Source organism: Homo sapiens, chromosome 7 (genome assembly GCF_000001405.40).
Source record: "Homo sapiens chromosome 7, GRCh38.p14 Primary Assembly".
Taxonomy (NCBI): Eukaryota; Metazoa; Chordata; class Mammalia; order Primates; family Hominidae; genus Homo; species Homo sapiens.
This window is the reverse complement of record NC_000007.14, coordinates 5,574,134-5,592,300: the sequence shown is the minus strand read 5'-3', so window position 1 is coordinate 5,592,300 and position 18,167 is coordinate 5,574,134. Positions and strand designations below refer to the sequence as shown.

Below are 18,167 nucleotides of genomic sequence, written 5' to 3'. Positions count from 1 at the left end.
CACGCCCAACTAGGTTGTCTCCGAGGCCCTGCAGCCTGGCCCTCCTATGCAGAGATGTGGTTCCTTGAGGCTTCAGCCCCACAGCCGCTGCCCTGAAGACCACCAGGACCCCTCCGTGTGGCCCAGGCACCCGCCTCGGGTGGCCCAAATAGGTCTCCGGGAGAGTGGTTGAGTCAGTGGCCGACATTCCCAATGCTGGCGATGCCAGGGTTCAGGTCCCACCTGGTGGTGAGTGGGCAGGACAGGAATTGGTGTTCTCGTTTTTTGACACGGATCACAGAGGTCCAGCAACTGTGAGCCAGACCAGCCCAGGTCTCTGGTTCCCAGGCCAGTGTCCCTTCCCCTCCCAAGCCCCAATTTCATGGGACTCTGAGCTGGTCACACAGGAGGGACATGGTGCTGGCTACAGCCCCCCCCCCCATCCTCAGAATCCCAACCCTCCATCCTCCTCCCCCAAAGGGGACATTCCCTGCAGACACCACCTCCCACGCCCTCACCCACCCCCTCTAGGGACACTTCCCTTTTCTGCGCCTCACCGAAGGCTGAGGCTTTTCCTGGACATTCCCCACATGCCAAAAGGCCCCTGGAATGCCAGCATGACCACAGGCTGCCCACAAGGTCTCAGGCCGGGCACTGAGATAACTCCGGGCCCTCAGCCGGCTCGCTGATAAACTGGGATTGCTGGGGCTGGTCCGAGCCTGTGTCTGCCCCAGGCAATCCCAGCCAGGGGCTTTCAGTGCGCGGGGGAAGATGGTGTCACCTTCTTGCCATCCTGCTTCAAATGGGTTTACCGGCAGGGCCTTGAGCCCCAGAACCCGCACGCCCCTGGCAACCCCTCCCACAGACACTGACGTTGTGGCTGTTAATTTTGGGCTTTGGCCAGAACCCCCTCCCATCAGCCCTCAACCGCAAGCCAACATGTTTTTGTGCTTCTTTGCTCTGCCCTGAGCCATATACTATGGAAAAAATCAAGGTTTAGCTGGGTGTGATGGTGCATGCCTGTGGTCCCAGCTACTCAGGAGGCTGAGGAAAGAGGATTCCTTGAGCCCAGGAGGTGGAGGCTGCAGTGAGCTATGACAGTGCCACTGCACTCCAGCCAGGTACAGTGGTTCACACCTGAAATCCCAACACTTTGGGAGGCTGAAGCAGGAGGATCGCTTGAGGCCAGGAGTTCAACCTGGGCAACATAGCAAGATCTCATCTAGATAGATAGATAGATAGATAGATAGATAGATAGATAGATAGATAAATAGACGATAGAAAATGCCTTGGCTTGAATGCCTCTGGTGATGGGGCTGCCACTGTCCTCTGTCCATTGCCAGTGCAGGTGATAGGTGTTTGTCCTGCTCTAGATTGGGTACAGATGTGAGTGAGTGAGCCCTGGTCCACAGCTGCTGCCAGGAAATGTGTCCTTGTGGACAGAACGAGCTCCAGATGGCCATAGAGCTCCGGACGGGGGAAAAGAGAATCTCGGGGTTTTGTTTGTTTGTTTTTCAGACGGAGTCTTTCTCTGTCGCCCAGGTCGGAGTGCAGTGGTGCAATCTCGGCTCATTGCAACCTTCACCTCCAGGGTTCAAGCGATTCTCCTGCCTCAGCCTCCTGAGTAGCTGGGATTACAGGCATCCACCACCACGCCCGGGTAGTTTTTTGTATTTTCAGTAGAGAAGGGGTTTCACCATGTTGGCCAGGCTGGTCTTGAACTCCTGACCTCATGATCTGCCCGCCTGGGCCTCCCAAAGTACTGGGATTACAGGAGTGAGCCACCGTGCCCGACCACAGAGTAGCATTTTCGAAAATCATTCCTGCTCGGCACCATGCCCTGTCCTCACCTTGCCTGCATCTCGCTTACGATGGGCACCTCTGTGTCCGGGGCAGGACAAGCTGCCCTTGAACAAGTCACATGATCCTTCCTGCAGGCCCCACCCCAAGTCCCTCCGGGGAAGGATGGGGACATGGACGCTGTGTTCCTGGGCCCTTCGGGAACCCAGGTGCCATCTGAGCCACCTTGGTACGAGGGCGTGGCACGAGGTGAGGCCAGTCCTGAGCTCCTCCCAGGCTGGCCACTGGACACCATGCAGCAGGCTCTGCAGGGGAAAGTGAGGCCACCAGGAAGGGCTGCTCAGCTCACCCTGGACTCAGTTCCCTGAGTGAGGACTCGGACCCTGTCCTACCCAACCAGACTGCCACTTACAAAGCAGGAGTCAACAACCAAAGGCTGCGGGCTGCTCCTTCTGGCTGCACAACCTCCCTCTCCCAGGCACTTCCCTGGGGCTTCCTGCTGCGCCCTCCCTGGGGACCCCCTTCTCACCGCAACGTTGCAGCCTCACACCCTCCTCAACAGCTTTTTTTTAGGCCTGAGCCCTGTGCTAGGTCTTGACTGTAGTCCAAAGACCAGGATTTGGGGCCTGGGGGCAAAATATACCCCTTCTAGAAGCTTCGGTTCTTCATCTGTGCAAGGACAGGGGTGGGAAAGCCCTGAGTTGTTTTTTTTTTTTTGCGGGGGATAGGGAGAGACGGGGTCTCACTCTGTCACCCAGGCTGGAGTGCAGTGGTGCCATCACAGCTCACTCCCGCCTCAAACTCCTGGGCTTAAGCAATCCTCCCACCTCAGCTTCCCAAATTGCTGGGGGTACAGACATGCACCACCATGCCCGGCTAAATTTTTTTTTTTTTTTTTGAGATAGAGTCTCGCTCTGTTGCCCAGGCTTTAGTGCAGTGGCGCGATCTCGGCTCACTGCAAGCTCCGCCTCCCGGGTTCACGCCATTCTCCTACCTCAGCCTCCCGAGTAGCTGGGACTACAGGCGCCCGCCACCACGCCCGGCTAATTTTTTTTTTTTTTTTTGAGACGGAGTCTCACTCTGTCTCCCAGACTGGAGTGCAGTAGTGCGATCTCGGCTCACCGCAACCTCCACCTCGATGGTTCAAGCGATTCTCCTGCCTCAGCCTCCTGAGTAGCTGGGACTACAGGCGCGTGTCACCACGCCCGGCTAATTTTTGTATTTTTAGTAGAGACAGGGTTTCGTCATGTTTGTCAGGCTGATCTCGAACTCCTGACCTCGTGATCCGCCGGCCTCAGCCTCCCAAAGTGCTGGGATTACAGGCATGAGCCACCACGCCCGGCCTATTTTTTGTATTTTTAGTAGAGACGGGGTTTCACCGTGTTAGCCAGGATGGTCTCAATCTCCTGACCTCGTGATCCACCCGCCTCAGCCTCCCAAAGTGCTGGGATTACAGGCGTGAGTCACCGCGACCGGCCTATTTTTTTTTTTTTTAGAGATGGGTTCTCACTATATTCCCCAGGCTGGCCTTGAGCTCCTGGGCTCGAGTGATCCTTGCACCTCTGCCTCCCAAAGGGCTGGGATGACAAGTGTGAGCCACCATGCCCAGCCTGCCCTGAGTCTCTGTTGCCATCCTGGGAGCTTCCTGCCCAGGGTCATCATTAAAGTTGTGTGACCCCAAGCCAATCCCTCATTCCCTCCCGAGCCTCGTTTCCCTTCTCTCAAGGGGAGATAAATGTGGCTGGCCCAGGCGTCTGTATGGGACCAGAAATGCTGTCCATGTTACAAACGCACAGATGTCAGCGGCTCAGCCCTCTGTAAATGAGCGGCCTCGTGGCCGAGAGCCTGTGAATGGCGTCTCTGTTGCTGTGCAGCCGCTGGCTCTGTGGCACCCGCGAGGAGGCCTGGTACGGCCAGCGCCCTGCATGGGACCCTGGGGAGTGGGAGGAGCTGATTCTAGGGCAGGAGTCCTGCCAGGCCTGGCTTCCCGGCTGACCACAGGGCCACAGGACAGCTGTGCCCTCCAGGGCCCTGAGCCACACTACAGCATGGTCAGCCAGAGCCCGGGAGGACAGGACCAGGCTGTCACTCCCACTGTCCTGCCTCTACCAACATCTCTACCAATTATTATTATTATTATTATTATTATTATTATTATTATTATTTGAGATGGAGTTTCACTCTTTTTGCCCAGGCTGGAGTGGAATGGTGCAATCTCGGCTCACCACAAGCTCTGCTTCCCAGGTCCAAGTGATTCTCCTGCCTCAGCCTCCCAAGTAGCTGGGATTACAGGTGTGCGCCACCACGCCCTGCTAATTTTGTATTTTTAGTAGAGACGGGGTTTCTGCATGTTGGTCAGGCTGGTCTCGAACTCCCGATCTCAGGTGATCTGCCCTCCTCGGCCTCCCAAAGTGCTGGGATTACAGGCGTGAGCCACCGCACTGGACCTGATTAATTTTTTTAAAACAGGGTCTCGGCCAGGCCCGGTGGCTCATGCCTATAATCCCAGCAATTTAGGAGGCCAAGGGGGCATGGATCACCTAAGGTCAGGAGTTCAAGTCCAGCCTGGCAAACATGGTGAAACCCTGTCTCTACTAAAAACACAAAAAATTAGCCAGGCGTGGTGGCACACGCCTGTAATCCCAGCTACTTGGGAGGCTGAGGCGGGAGAATCTCTTGAAGCCGGGAAGCAGAGGTTGCAGTGAACCGACATTGCACCACTGCACTCCAGCCTGGGTGACAGAGTGAGACTCCATCTCAAAATAAATAAAAATAAAATAAAATAAAACAAGGTCTCATTCTCTTACCCAGGCTGGAGTGCAGTGGTACAATCAGAGCTCACCCCAGCCACAAACTCCTGGACTCAAGTGATCCTCCCACCTCAGCCTCCCTTGAATAGCTAGGACTACAAGTGTATGCCTCCAGGCCTGGCTAATTGTTTTTAATTTTTTGGTAGAGGCAGGGATCTCATTGTATTGCCCAGGCTGGGGTCCCAAACTCCTGATCACAAGTGAACCTCCTGCCTCAGCCTCTGAAAGTGCTGGGATTACAGGCATGAGCCACCGTGCCCAGCTCCCTGACAATTTCTGGCTGCATGGACTTCTGGTTACAAGCAGGGAAACTGAGGCCTGGATACAGCAAACAGGATCTGGCCCAGCTTTAAGTGGGGAACATGCAGTTTGGGGGACCCAGGCTCATAGTTCCCATGGGATTTGCAAAGAGGGATGTGGGTGGAGGTGTGACCTCCCCACCACTGCTCCAGGACCTAAACTGTAACCCTTCAAAGACAGGAACTCACCTGTGGATCCATACATGAGCTGCCCTGTGCAGGGGAGGCTCCAGAGTTAACTGTGCAGTCCAGGAGGGCCTTCAGGAGGAGGTGATGCCTACACTGGGTGAATAAGAGTTCAAGGGGGCAGAGCCAGGCAAGGCAGGAGCAAAGGAAAATAGGTGGGGGACCTGGAATCTGGCCCTGAAAACGTGTTCCTTGATATCTTTTCTGTTTCTGTCACTCTTCTGTTGATGATGACCAGAGGTCGGGGCCTGGATTGGCTTCAGTGGGGACTCAGAGGCCGCACCTTCTGGCCATGGTACTCACCTGGCCATCCCCCCTACTCACCCGGTGGCCGATGCTGGTCCTGCTCCAAACCCAAGTGCGTTCTGCAAAGTGAGGCCGCAGCGGCAAGTGCTTGGCAAGTGCCTGGCTAATTAAGAGGACATTAGCGCCCTGGGCAGAGCCCGGCTCCTGCCAAGATGTCCCTGCCAGGAGAGGGGCTGCCGGCTGCTGCCAGGCCTTGGCCTCCCTGCTTGGCCGCCACCTCATCCTGCTTTCACTGAGGGCCGGGGCCCGGCATGCCAGGGCTCTCCCCGGCCCCGGCACCAGTGCCCAAGACACCTCAGTCTTGAACGGTCCTCCTGCCTCTGGCCTCAGGCCCCACCTGCCACTCACTCCTCCCTGAGCCTGCACCATCTGCCACTCACTCCTCCCTGAACCACCTCTGCTGTAAACACCCACCGGGCCAGGCGTGGTGGCTCATAGTGACGTCACCGTCAGCCGGGAGGACCCAGGCACCTGTTCTTCTCCAATTCAGCAAGGTGAATTGGAGCACTGGTTTTGGTTTGTTCTTTTTTGTTTGTTTTGAGACAGAGTCTCACTCTGTTACCCAGGCTGGAGGGGCGGTGGTACAATCTTGGCTCACTGCACTCCGCCTCCCAGGGAGGCCTCAGCCTCTGGAGTAGCTGGATTACAGGCATGCACCACTACACCCAGCTAATTTTTGTGTTTTTAGTAGAGACGGGGTTTTGCCATGTTGGCCAGGCTGGTCTCAAACTCCTGACCTCAGGTGATCCGCCCGCCTCGGCCTCCCAAAGTGCTGGGATTCCAGGCGTGAGCCACCACGCCCAGCCCGAGCACTGTTCTGACCGATTTCTGAGGCTCACGGGGGCAAAAATCAGAATAAGCATCGCTCTCAGTGACAATGCTACGACCTCCACCTTCATCACCTCCATCCCACCCACCCGGGCAGCCAAGGTAGGTTCCTGAAGGTGGTCAAATCCAGGGCGCCCCTCTCCACCCCACACTTCTCCCGTGGCTCCCCAGTGCCCCAAGAGGGCCCAAAGCCCTGAAGGCTCTGGGCTCCTGGGGGGCCTCTGCCCATCTCTCCTGCCACCCTCCCTTCTCTTCTCCCCGCCAGTCCACCTCTCCAACCTCGATGCCATTGCACCTGCTGTGCCTGTTGCCTGCCCAACAAAGCTGCCTGCCAAAGCCCTGCTCATCCCAAAGACTCTGGCTCAGACATCACCCACCTCCTCTGGGGTGGCGCCTGCCTCCACGCTTGTAATCCCAGCTCCCGGCCCCTTCCGTGAGCACCCCCAGATGGGAGCTTGGCACTTTCACCAGGTTTGGGTGTCCCAGGGCTTGGGGCAGGCATCTGGCCCAGCGCCGTCCAATAGAACATTCTGCAATAATGGAAATGTTCTTTTTTCTTTATTTGATTTTTTTTGAGACAGAGTCTCCCTCTGTTGCCCAGGCTGAAATGCAGTGGTGCGATCACAGCTCACTGCAACCTCCGCCTCCCAGGCTCAAGCGATTCTCCCACCTCAGCCTCCCGAGTAGCTGGGACCACAAGTGTGCACCACCGAGCCCAGCTAATTTAAAAAAAAAATGTTTTTGTAGAAACTGGGTTCTTGCCATGTGGCCTATGCTGGTCTCAAACTCCTGGCCTCAAGTGATCCTCCCACCTCAATCTCCCAAAGTGCTGGGACTTACAGGTGTGAGCCACTGTGCCTGGCCTGGAAATGTTCTTTTTTTTTTTTTTCTTTTTGAGATGGAGTTTCGCTCTTGTCCCCCAGACATGAACAACCGCGCCAGCCCTGGAAAGGTTCTATAAGCTTCTCTGCCCGTTAACAAGAGCTGTCCTTGACACATGTGGCTTTTGAGCAATAGTGAGAAACAAACAAAAAAACCCTTTGCCCTTTGATGTGAGAAATGCCAGCCCCCTTAAATTATCAGGCCCAGAAAGGCATTTAAAATGTAACAGCAGTCAATGAAACAAGTCATACCAAAAAGCCACATTGCTCTCTCCTAAGCCCCAACCCCACTCCATTCCTGTGGCCAGTGGTCCAAACAGAAAATAACTGGAGAAGACAAGGAGGTCAAAGGATCAGGGAACTAAGCATTATGTGAGTTCACCAGCAAGATGTATAGAATGCTGGTGTTTACATTGCTTTTATGGAACTAGCAGAATAAAAATGATTAAAAAAAAAAAAGTAACAGCAGTTAAAAGGCCGGGCGTGGTGGCTCATGCCTGTAATCCTAGCACCTTGAGAGGCCGAGGCCGGTGGATGACAAGGTCAGGAGTTCGAGACCATCCTGGCTAACATAGTGAAACCCTGTCTCTACTAAAAATACAAAAATTAGCCGGGCTTGGTGGCACACGCCTGTAATCCCAGCTACTCGGGAGGCTGAGGCAGGAGAATCACTTGAACCTGGGAGACAGAGGTTGCAGTGAGCCGAGATCGCGCCATTGCACTCCAGCTTGGGCAACAAGAGTGAAACTCCGTCTCAAAAAAAAAAAAAAGTAACAGCAGTCACATCTCACTTTCTATTGAGCTAAATAATTACGTCCTGAAGCTACTTGCTACATGGACTCTGGGCTCTGGACCAGCTAATGCCCAAGTGGCCACAGACGCCATCCACCCTGTGGGTCTGTCTACAACATATAACCAATCACTAGCCAAAGTTATTTCTGTAAGCCAATGAGAATTCCGAATGAACAGAGCTTGTAATTGTCTCCTGTCCTGATTCGTCCTTTTCTTCTTTAAAAAGTTGAGCCTCCACTCCTGTTATCGCAGCACTTTGGGAGGCCAAGGTGGGCGGATCACCTGAGGACAGGAGTTTGAGATCAGCCTGGCCAACATGGTGAAACCCCGTCTCTACTAAAAGTACAAAAATTAGCTGGGCGTGAGCCACTGCGCCTGGCCTCTTTTCTTTTTTTGGTGGGGTCTTGCTCTGTCACCCAGGCTGGAGTGCAGTGGCGTGAATTTGGCTTACTGCAACCTCTGCCTCCTAGACTCTGTAGCAGGATGAGCCGCAGACAAAACTCAGACACCGAGTTAAAGAAGGAAGGGGTTTATTTGGCCAGGGGCATCAGCAAGACTCCTGTCTCAAGAGCCAAGCTCCCCGAGTGAGCAATTCCTGTCCCTTTTAAGGGCTCACAACTCTAAGGGGGTGCACGTGAGAGGGTCGTGATTGAGCAAGCAGGGGGTACGTGACTGGGGGCTGCATGCACCGGTAATTAGATCAGAACAAAACCAGATAGGGATTTTCACAGTGCATTTCTATACAATGTCTGTAGTCTATAGATAACATCACCGATTAGATCAGGGGTCGATCTTTAACTACGAGGCCCAGGGTGTGGCGCTGGGCTGTCTGCCTGTGGTTTTCATTTCTGCCTTTTAGTTTTTACTTTTTCTTTCTTTGGAGGCAGAAATTGGGCATAAGACAATATGAGGGGTGGTCTCCTCCCTTAACTCAAGTGATCCTTCCACCTCAACCTCCTAAGTAGCTGGGACTAAAGGAATGCAACACCATGCCCAGATAGGTTTTTGTATTTTTTTGTAAAGACAAGGTCTCACCATGTTGTCCAACCTGGTCTCAAACTCCTGGCTGTAAGCAATCCTCCCACCTCAGCCTCCCAAAGTGCTGGGATTACAGGTATGAGCCACCACACCTGGCCCACTTTTTTTCTTTTTCTTTCTTTCTTTTCTTTTTTTTTTTTTTTTTTTTTTTGAGACAAAGTCTCACTCTGTCACCCAGGCTGGAGTGCAGTGGCATGACCTCGGCTCACTGCAACCTCCACCTCCCAGGTTCAAGCGATTCTTCTGCCTCAGCCTCCTGAGTAGCTGGGACTACAGATGTGTGCCACCAAGCCCAGCTAATTTTTGTATTTTTAGTAGAGATGGGGTTTCACCATGTTGGCCAGGCTGGTTTCGAACTCCTGACCTCATGATCTGCCCACTCAGCCTCCCAAAATGCTGGGATTACAGGTGTGAGCCACCACGCCTGGCCCACTTTTTCTAATTCATACATGGGCACTGTCGGGGCAGTGGAGTCTCACCTCACCCCTATTTCCCTGGGCCATTCCCAGACCCCTTCGGGAACTCCCTCTTGCAGTCATGGTAGCTTCAAATGCAAGAAAGAGAAAACTCTAACTCAACTGGCTAACCAGCAAGATGTTTCATTATAGCAAGAAACAAGAAGCCCCAAAGAGGGGAGTTTCCAGGGTTGGTTCACTGTAACAGAGCTGGAAAGGACCCTGGAACTTCCCCCACTTCTCACTCTGCCTTCCCTGTCAGGTGAACTCTGCCTTCAGGCTCAGGTCCTCAGAATCTCAAGGCAGCTGCCAGGGCTCCAGACATCACATCTCCCCAGCACTATCTAAAACAGACTTTTGAGAAATTATGAACCTTCTCACAGTATCAAGTTTTTAAATGCACAAGATAAAATGCATATGAATATAAAGAAAGCCAGTTATGACCAGGTGTGGTCGTGGTCGATCTCAGCACTTTGGGAGGCCAAAATGGACAGATTGAATGAGTCTAGGAGTTCAAGACAAGGCTGGGCAACATAGCAAGACCCTGTCTCTGCAAAAAGTAATTGCCTCAGCCAGGCATGGTGGCTCATGCCTGTAATCCCAGCACTTTGGGAGACCAAGGCCAGCGGATTATCTGAGATCAGGAGTTCGAGACCAACATGGTGAAACCCCATCTCTACTTAAAAAAATACAAAAATTAGCTGGGCGTGGTGGTGGGCGCCTGTAATCCCAGCTACTTGGGCAGCTGAGGCAGAAGAATCACTTGAACCCAGGAGGCGGAGGTTTCAGTGAGCCAAGATTTTGCAACTGCATTCCAGCCTGGGTGACAGAGCAAGACTCCATCTCAAAAGAAAAAAAAAGAGTATTATGATTTTTTTTTTTTTTTTGAGACAGAGTTTCGCTCTTGTCGCCCCAGGCTGGAGTGCAATGGTGCGATCTCGGCTCACTACAACCTCCACTTCCCAGGCTCAAGTGATTCTCCTACCTCAGCCTCCCAAGTAGCTGGGATTACAGGCACATGCCACCATGCTCGGCTAATTTTTGTATTATTAGTAGAGACCAGGTTTCACCATGTTGCCCAGGCTGGTCTCGAACTCCTGACCTCAGGCGATCCGCCCGCCTCGGCCTCTCCCAAAGTGCTGGGATTACAGGCGTGAGCCACCATGCCTGGCCTAGAGTATTAATTTTTTAAAAAATCGCCTCAACTTCCCAGGTTCAAGTGATTCTCCCACCTCATCCTCCCGACTAGGTGGGACTACAGGCATGCACCACCACACCGGGCTAAATTTTGTATTTTTGGTAGAGACGGGGTCTCACCATGTTGCCCAGGCTGGTCTCGAACCCCTGAGCTCACCTGATCCTCCCACCTCAGCCTCCCAAAGTGCTGGGGTTAAAGGAATGAGCTACCATGCCGGGTCATGCTATGCATATTTTACAACAATTAATTTTTTATTTTAAAGCCATGCCTTGTCCTAAAACCATGCCCCTCCCTGCAAGAAGCCGGGGACCTGGTGCCTGCATTAGACCAATTAATGTCTACACTGGCGGCCATGGCGAGACGTCTCCACTAAAACCCCAAACCAGGTTTCTGTTGGAAGGAGGAGGAGGAAGTTAGGGGCGTCTGCTGCTTTTCCCTCACTCCCTCTCCAGGCCACTCCTTGCATCCCTGGCGCCTCCAGGAAATCTCTGGCTTCCTCTCCAGGGCGCTTCCTCTGTGCTTCCCTGGCTGCACTCCGAAGACCTGGGTAGCCCATTAAATTGAAAATCCAGAGCACTGGGTCCCTTCCTCCCTGCAAGGAGGGCTTAATTTCCAAACTTTCCTGGCAGGTGAAGAGAAACATCTGCCTCCGTCCCGGCCCCGCTGGAGTAGCCAGGAAAACAAGACTTTTGTTTCCATAGTGAAACAGCTGGGCCACCCCCATCCTGCCCTGCTGGGATTTTCCAAGGCTTCATATCCATTTCCAGTTTCCAGACTGAAAACCACGTGGGCCCAGGTGCGGGAGACCTGGGTGCTGACCTTGCTGGTGCCCTCGACTTGCTGTGTGCCCTTGGGTAAGTCTCTTGCCCTCTCTGAGCTGTGAGTCAGTGAAGGGGTTGAATGGGATGACCTCTGAGGTGCCTCCCAGCACCAGTGCCTCACTGATGTGGTCACTACAGGCTATAAATCCACCAGCTCCCTAACGATTGACACGATTGACTCCTTTTTTTTTGGAGATGGAGTCTCACTCTGTTCTGTTGCCCAGGTTGCAGTGCAGTGGCACGATCTCGGCTCACTGCAACCTCTGCCTCCCGGGTTCAAGCAATTCTCCTGCCTCAGCCTCCCAAGTAGCTCGAGTACAGGTGCACACCGTGACACTCAGCTTATTTTTTGTATTTTAGCAGAGACAGGGTTTCACCGTGTTGCCCAGGCTGGTCTCGAACTCCTGAGCTCAGGCAATTCACCTGCCTCAGCCTCCCAAAGTGCTGGGATTACAGGCGTGAGCCACCGTGCCCGACTGACTTCTTTTTTTTTTTTTGAGACAGACTCTTGTTCTGTTACCCAGGCTGGAGTGCAGAGGTACAATCTCAGCTCACTGCAACCTCCACCTCCTGGATTCAAGAGATTCTCCTGCCTCAGCCTCCCCAGTAGGTGGGATTACAGACATGCACCACCATGCCCAGCTAATATTTGTGGGTTTTTTTTGTTTGTTTTTTTTTTGAGACAGAGTCTTGCTTCTGTCGCCCAGGCTGGAGCGCAGTGGTGCGATCTCGGCTCACTGCAAGTTCCGCCTCCCGGGTTCACGCCATTTTCCTGCCTCAGCCTCCTGAGTAGCTGGGACTATAGGCACCCGCCACCATGCCCGGCTAATTTTTGTATTTTTAGTAGAGACAGGGTTTCACCATGTTAGCCAGGATGGTCTCGATCTCCTGACCTTGTGATCCGCCCGCCTCGGCCTCCCAAAGTGCTGGGATTACAAGCGTGAGCCACCGCGCCCGGCCATATTTGTGTTTTTAGTAGAGATGGGGTTTCAACATGTTGCCCAGATTGGTCTTGAACTCCTGACCTCAGGTGATCTGCCTTCTTCGGCCTCCCAAAGTGCTGGGACTACAGGCGTGAGCCACTGCACCAGCCTGAAGCTTGACTTATTTTAATCCAGGATCAACCCGTCATGGCCTGGACTAGCCGTCAAGGAACCTCCTGTCCCCCTGCCAGGGCAGAAAGTGTATCGTGGGTGACAAGAGGGAGGCTTTGAATGCAGTTAACACCATCTTCATCCCCCAGAGGCCGGGCCTGAGGTGCCATTCCACACAAAAGGTTCAGGTAGAGGACAGGGACATAGGACAGGGAAGGGACAGATCCCAGAGGGTGCATTATCAAGCCAGTTACCATGAGGAATCCCACTGAACGTTCATTCCGCCAGGGACATGTGGGAGACTCCAGGTGCCGTGCCTCCCAGTCAGCCCATGCTAGGGCCAAAGGATCTGGAGGACTCCTGCCTCAACCCAAGAGCCATTTGTTGACAGCTGCTCCTGGCCACGTGTGTGGGCACGGGGACACTGGAGGTCAGCTGGATCTCCCCAAGAGCTGGAGGATGTTACCTGGGTACAGATAACAGCGGCTGCACGTGTAGACGCTCCCGGTGGGAACTTGGGCTTCCTCGGCTGGAATATGGGCACAGAAAATTTCATTTTTGGCTGGGCATGGTGGCTCACGCCTGTAATCCCGGCACTATGGGCGGCCAAGGCAGATCACTTGAGGCCAGGAGTTCGAGACCAGCCTGGCCAACATGGCGAAGCCCCATCTCTACTAAGAATACAAAAAAATTAGCCGGGTGTGGTGGCGGGCACCTGAAGTCCCAACTACTCCTGAGGCTGAGGCAGGAGAATCGCTTGAACCCAGGAGGTGGAGGTTGTGGCGAGCTGCGATCGCGCCACCGCACTCCAGCCTGGTGACAGAGTGAGACTCCATCTCAAAAAAACAAAAAAAGAAAAGAAAAGAAACAAAGAAACAAAGGCGTTCCTCACTTCCACTGGAGATCAAATGAAACATGGATCCTGCGTACAGAATTTACTGGAGGCCGTCCAGTGACCAGGCCTTGACTTTTATCAAAATTCTCAGACATTCAAGGTTAGACGCTATGGAAGCTAGAGGGAACAACCCTGCTGATAATACTGCTACGAAGGCTGCCGTTAATCAACTCCGTGTAATCAAATCTCTCTTGCGGCCCCACTCAAAGAAACTTCAAAAGATGAACCACAAATAATTACCAAAGATGGGGCACCAGAGGCCAAAAAAGAAAACTGGAAAGATCATGGCTGCTGATGTGACGATAAAAGAGAGCTGTGGTTTGGATCTGATAACAAACCAGTTCTTTGAAATTCAGTGAAATACTCAGTTAACCGCGGAACACAGTTTGACTCATCGGGTAACCAACAAATTGATTTCTTTTATAAGACAATATTGGTGGGCAGCATTTAAAAGCTGCAAAAAAAAATGAAACAAAAAAAGAAGAAAAAAGAAAAAAGCTGCAAAAAATGCTTATTTGACCAGTGGCCCCTGCCCTAAGTTTATTTCAGGAAAACCTGTAAGTACTGATTCTGGCTTGTGTGTGTTGGTGTGTGTGTTTGTGTGTGACTGGGTCTCACTCTGTCACCCGGGCTGGAGTGCAGTGGCACGATCTTGGCTCACTGCAACCTATTTTGGCCAGTTTCACATAATTTCCATTTTAGTTACCATTCTCAATCTTCTGACCTAATAGAGCAAACAGATGGAACTGTAAAAACCCACTTGGCTTTTGGAGGCCGAGGCGGGCAAATAACGAGATCAGGAGTTCGAGACCAGCCTGGTCAAAATGGTGAAACCCCATCTTTACTAAAAATACAAAAATTAACCGGCTGGGTGCGGTGGCTCACGCCTGTAATCCCAGCACTTTGGGATACTGAGGCGGGTGGATCACGAGGTCAGGAGATCAAGACCATCCTGGCTAACACGGTGAAACCCTGTCTCTATTAAAAATACGAAAAATTAGCCGGGCGTGGTGGCGGGTGCCTGTAGTCCCAGCTACTTGGGAGGCTGAGGCAGGAGAATGGCGTGAACCTGGGAGGCGGAGCTTGCAGTGAGCCGAGATCGCGCCACTGCACTCCAGCCTGGGCAACAGAGGAAGACTCCGTCTCAAAATAAAATAAAATAAAATAAAATAAAATAAATAAAAATACAAAAATTAGCCAGGCATGATGGCACGCGCCTGTAGTCCCAGCTACCCGGGAGGCTGAGGCAGGAGAATCACTTTGAATCTGAGAGGCAGAGGTTGCAGTGAGCCAAAATCAAGCCACTGCACTTCAGCCTGGCGACAAAGAGACTCCATCTCAAAAAACAAAACAAAACAAAACAAAAAAAACAACCTAATTGGGGCCGGGCACAGTGGCTTATGTGGGCCTCCCACTTGGGAGGCCAAGGTGAGTGGATCACTTGAGGTCAGGAGTTTGAGACCAGCCTGGCCAACATGGCAAAACGACATCTCTACTAAAAATACGAAAATTAGCTGGGCATGGTGGCACATGCCTGTAATCCCAGCTACTCGAGAGGCTGAGGCACAAGAATTGCTGGAACTCAGGAGGTGGAGGCTTCAGTGAGCCGAGATCGTGCCACTGCACTCTAGCCTGGGTGACAGAGCAAAACTTCATCTTAAAAAAAAGAACAAGAGCTCGCCATGGTGGCTCACACCTGTAGTCCCAACACTTTGGGAGACCGAGGAGGGAGAATCATCTGAGAGGAGTTCGAGACCAGCCTGCCCAACATGGTGAAACCCCATCCAGTTAATTTTTGTGTTTTTAATAGAGACAGGGTTTCACCATGTTAGCCAGGCTGGTCTCGAACTCCTGCCCACAAGTGATGCACCTGCCTCGGCCTCCCAAAGTGCTGTTATTACAGGTGTGAGCCACCAAGCCCAGCCTAAAAGTTAAAAAAATTTTTAAGTAAAGATAAACAAGTGACATCAAATTTCTTTCTTTTTTTTTTGAGATGGAGTCTCGCTCCGTCGCCCAGGCTGGAGTGCAGTGGCGCGATCTCGACTCACTGCAAGCTCCGCCTCCTGGGTTCACTTCATTCTCCTGCCTCAGCCTCCCGAGTAGCTGGGACTAGGGCGTCCGCCACCACACCCAGCTAATTTTTTTTGTATTTTTAGTAGAGACGGGGTTTCACCGTGTTAGCCAGGATGGTCTCGATCTCCTGACCTCGTGATCCGCCCACCTCGGCCTCCCAAAGTGCTGGGATTACAGGTATGAGCTACCGCGCCCGGCCCAAATTTCTTAATGTATGTTATTTAACTCCTATATCCCAAATACTATCATTTCAATATGTAATTAACATGAAACTTATGAGAAATTTTAGGTCCTTTTCTTCCCCCGATACTACGACATCAGGTTCATCCCCACTTGGCAGGGCTACACTTTCTAACCACTGGGGCCGGAGCTGTCCCCCTGGGCTTCCACAGGCTGCGATTCGGACCTAGACACCCATAACCATGCCAGGAGATGTACTGCAGGTTTATGTACTTTGAGTGTGGTAAGTTTTTGTTTTTTTTTTTTGAGACAGGGTCTTGCTCTGTCACCCAGGCGCTGGAGCGCAGTGGTGCAATCTCGGCTCACTATAACCTCCGCCTCCCAGGTACAAGCGATTCTCCTGCCTCAACCTCTCAAGTAGCTGGGACTACAAGCGTGCCCCGCTAATTTTTATTTTTGTTGTTGTTGTTTTGAGATGGAATCTCGCTCTGTCACCCAGGCTGGAGTGCAATGGCACGATCTCAGCTCACTGCAACCTCTGCCTCCCGGGTTCAAGTGATTCTCCTGCCTCAGACTCCTGAGTAGCTGGGATTACAGACGGGTGCCACCACACCTGGCTAATTTTTTGTGTTTTTAGTAGAGACAGGGTTTCACCATGTTAGCCAGGATGGTCTCGATCTCCTGACCTCGTGATTCGCCTGCCTTGGCCTCCCAAAGTGCTGGGATTACAGGCGTGAGCCATCGCGCCCAGCCAAATTTTTCTATTTTTAGTACAGATGGGATTTCGCCATGTTGGCCGGGCTGGAAAGTAACATAAGTTACTTCACATAAATTTAATCTTAAACTGAACACAGTGGGTCACACCTGTAATCCCAGCGCTTTCAGAGGCCCAGGAGGGAGGAATTTTTTTTTTTTTTTTTTTTTTTTTTTTGAGACGGAGTCTCTCTCTGTCGCCCAGGCTGGAGTGCAGTGGCGCAATCTCGGCTCACTGCAAGCTCCGCCTCCCGGGTTCACGCCATTCTCCGGCCTCAGCCTCTCGAGTAGCTGGGACTACAGGTGCCCGCTACTATGCCCGGCTAATTTTTTTGTGTTTTTAGTAGAGACGGGGTTTCACCGTGTTAGCCAGGATGGGGGAGGATTACTTCAGTCCAGGAGTTCCAGACCAGCCTGGGCAACATAGTGAGACTCCATCTCTCAAAAGAAATAAAAAAATCAGCCGAGCCTGGTGGTGCACATCCATAGTCCCAGCTACTCAGGCTGAGGCACAAGGATCACTTGAGCTGGGGAAGTCAAGGCTGCAGCGAGACATGATCACACCACTGCGCTCCAGCCAGGGTGATGAAATGAGACCCTATCTCAAAAGAAAAAATAATAAAAAAGAATAAAGAAACAAAAAGACAACAATTATCTTTGTGCGACTGTGTCCTGGAGCCAGGGGAGGTGTCTCGGCCTGGGAAAGGGCCTCCCCAGACGCCAAGCTCACAGCCAGCCTCCTGGTGACCCTGGGGCATGGCTCTGAGGACCTCGCTCTCAGGAAGGTACAATGAAAGGAGATCTCACTTGAGGCGGCGGGGCTTGGTGGGGGTGGTTTGGCCAGGTCTGCGAGGAAGGGACCTTCCCCAGCAGGCAGTCGGCCGGCGGCTGTGATCCCAGCCCTGACAAGACTCCTTATCTCTGCGGCAGCCGCCAGCCCATTGTCCAGGGAAGGAAGACGACAGGAGGCCGGCCAGCCCCGTCCACCTTCCCCCACCCGTCTTCCCCCTCCCCCACCCCTCCCTGTCCTTCCCAGCCTGCCAGGCCCCCTCTCTGACCAGACACAGCCCCCGGATAACCAGGCAGCAATTTTACCAGAAGTTGTATAGTGAAAACGCTGTATCACGTTAAAACAAAAGGAAGTGTGTTCTAGACTGAAGTGCACACGGGGCATGAATTTTTAAGCTAAAACAAGAACCGGAGAAAGCCTCCTTCCTTCTCTTCCCTTAGTTCCTTCCCCTTTCCGTTTCCTTCCAGAATAATCAGTCCCGGAGCCATTTGCTGGAGCAGAGCCAGGTGGGCGTCCCAGTGGGGTGGGGGAGGGTGGTGGCTCTGAGCAGCGTCAATGGGGTGGAGAGGGCTCGGGGGTGGTGGGGTAGGAGAGAGCTGGCTGCTTGGTGGACAGTCAAAATGGGGGAGGATGAGATCTCATTGAGGGTAGGGAGCTCAATTAGGCGGGGCCGGTGACCTGGGAGGGGTGACTAAGCTGTCCTGGGGCTAGGAGATATCCCTGCCAAAGGACAGCAAGGCTGGAGGACAGGTCTACAAGGTGAAAGGTGACAGTGCCCAGGAGACACGTGCTACACCCGGAGGGGTTGACAAAAGAAGCAGATGTGGCCAGGCATGGTGGCTCCCGCTTGTAATCCCAGCACTTTGGGAGGCCAAGGCGGGCGGATCACCTGAGGTCAGGAGTTCGAGATCAGCCTGGCCAACATGGTGGATCCTCATCTCTACTAAAAATACAAACAATTAGCTGCGTGTGGTGGCCCGTGCCTGTGA

The 18,167-nt window shown here is 52.9% G+C and overlaps 7 annotated features.

Annotated features, from left to right (window-relative positions):
- Nucleotides 17-96: an enhancer, noted in NCBI's record as "active region_25604". NCBI's record gives its function as "activates an Ori minimal core promoter by ATAC-STARR-seq in GM12878 lymphoblastoid cells {active_cell/tissue: GM12878}" and the evidence as "EXISTENCE:reporter gene assay evidence [ECO:0000049][PMID:35858748]".
- Nucleotides 327-376: an enhancer, noted in NCBI's record as "active region_25603". NCBI's record gives its function as "activates an Ori minimal core promoter by ATAC-STARR-seq in GM12878 lymphoblastoid cells {active_cell/tissue: GM12878}" and the evidence as "EXISTENCE:reporter gene assay evidence [ECO:0000049][PMID:35858748]".
- Nucleotides 5,052-5,551: an enhancer, noted in NCBI's record as "H3K4me1 hESC enhancer chr7:5626381-5626880 (GRCh37/hg19 assembly coordinates)". NCBI's record gives its function as "activates a minimal SCP1, AML or CMV promoter by ChIP-STARR-seq in naive H9 embryonic stem cells {active_cell/tissue: H9 hESC(naive)}" and the evidence as "EXISTENCE:reporter gene assay evidence [ECO:0000049][PMID:30033119]".
- Nucleotides 7,930-8,019: a silencer, noted in NCBI's record as "silent region_17924". NCBI's record gives its function as "represses an Ori minimal core promoter by ATAC-STARR-seq in GM12878 lymphoblastoid cells {active_cell/tissue: GM12878}" and the evidence as "EXISTENCE:reporter gene assay evidence [ECO:0000049][PMID:35858748]".
- Nucleotides 9,411-9,570: an enhancer, noted in NCBI's record as "active region_25602". NCBI's record gives its function as "activates an Ori minimal core promoter by ATAC-STARR-seq in GM12878 lymphoblastoid cells {active_cell/tissue: GM12878}" and the evidence as "EXISTENCE:reporter gene assay evidence [ECO:0000049][PMID:35858748]".
- Nucleotides 17,003-18,114: a transcriptional cis regulatory region, noted in NCBI's record as "candidate enhancer chr7.769 targeted for multiplex CRISPR interference". NCBI's record gives its function as "positively regulates FSCN1 gene expression with high confidence in K562 cells {active_cell/tissue: K562}" and the evidence as "EXISTENCE:mutant phenotype evidence [ECO:0000015][PMID:30612741]".
- Nucleotides 17,064-17,631: an enhancer, noted in NCBI's record as "NANOG-H3K27ac-H3K4me1 hESC enhancer chr7:5614301-5614868 (GRCh37/hg19 assembly coordinates)". NCBI's record gives its function as "activates a minimal SCP1, AML or CMV promoter by ChIP-STARR-seq in naive H9 embryonic stem cells {active_cell/tissue: H9 hESC(naive)}" and the evidence as "EXISTENCE:reporter gene assay evidence [ECO:0000049][PMID:30033119]".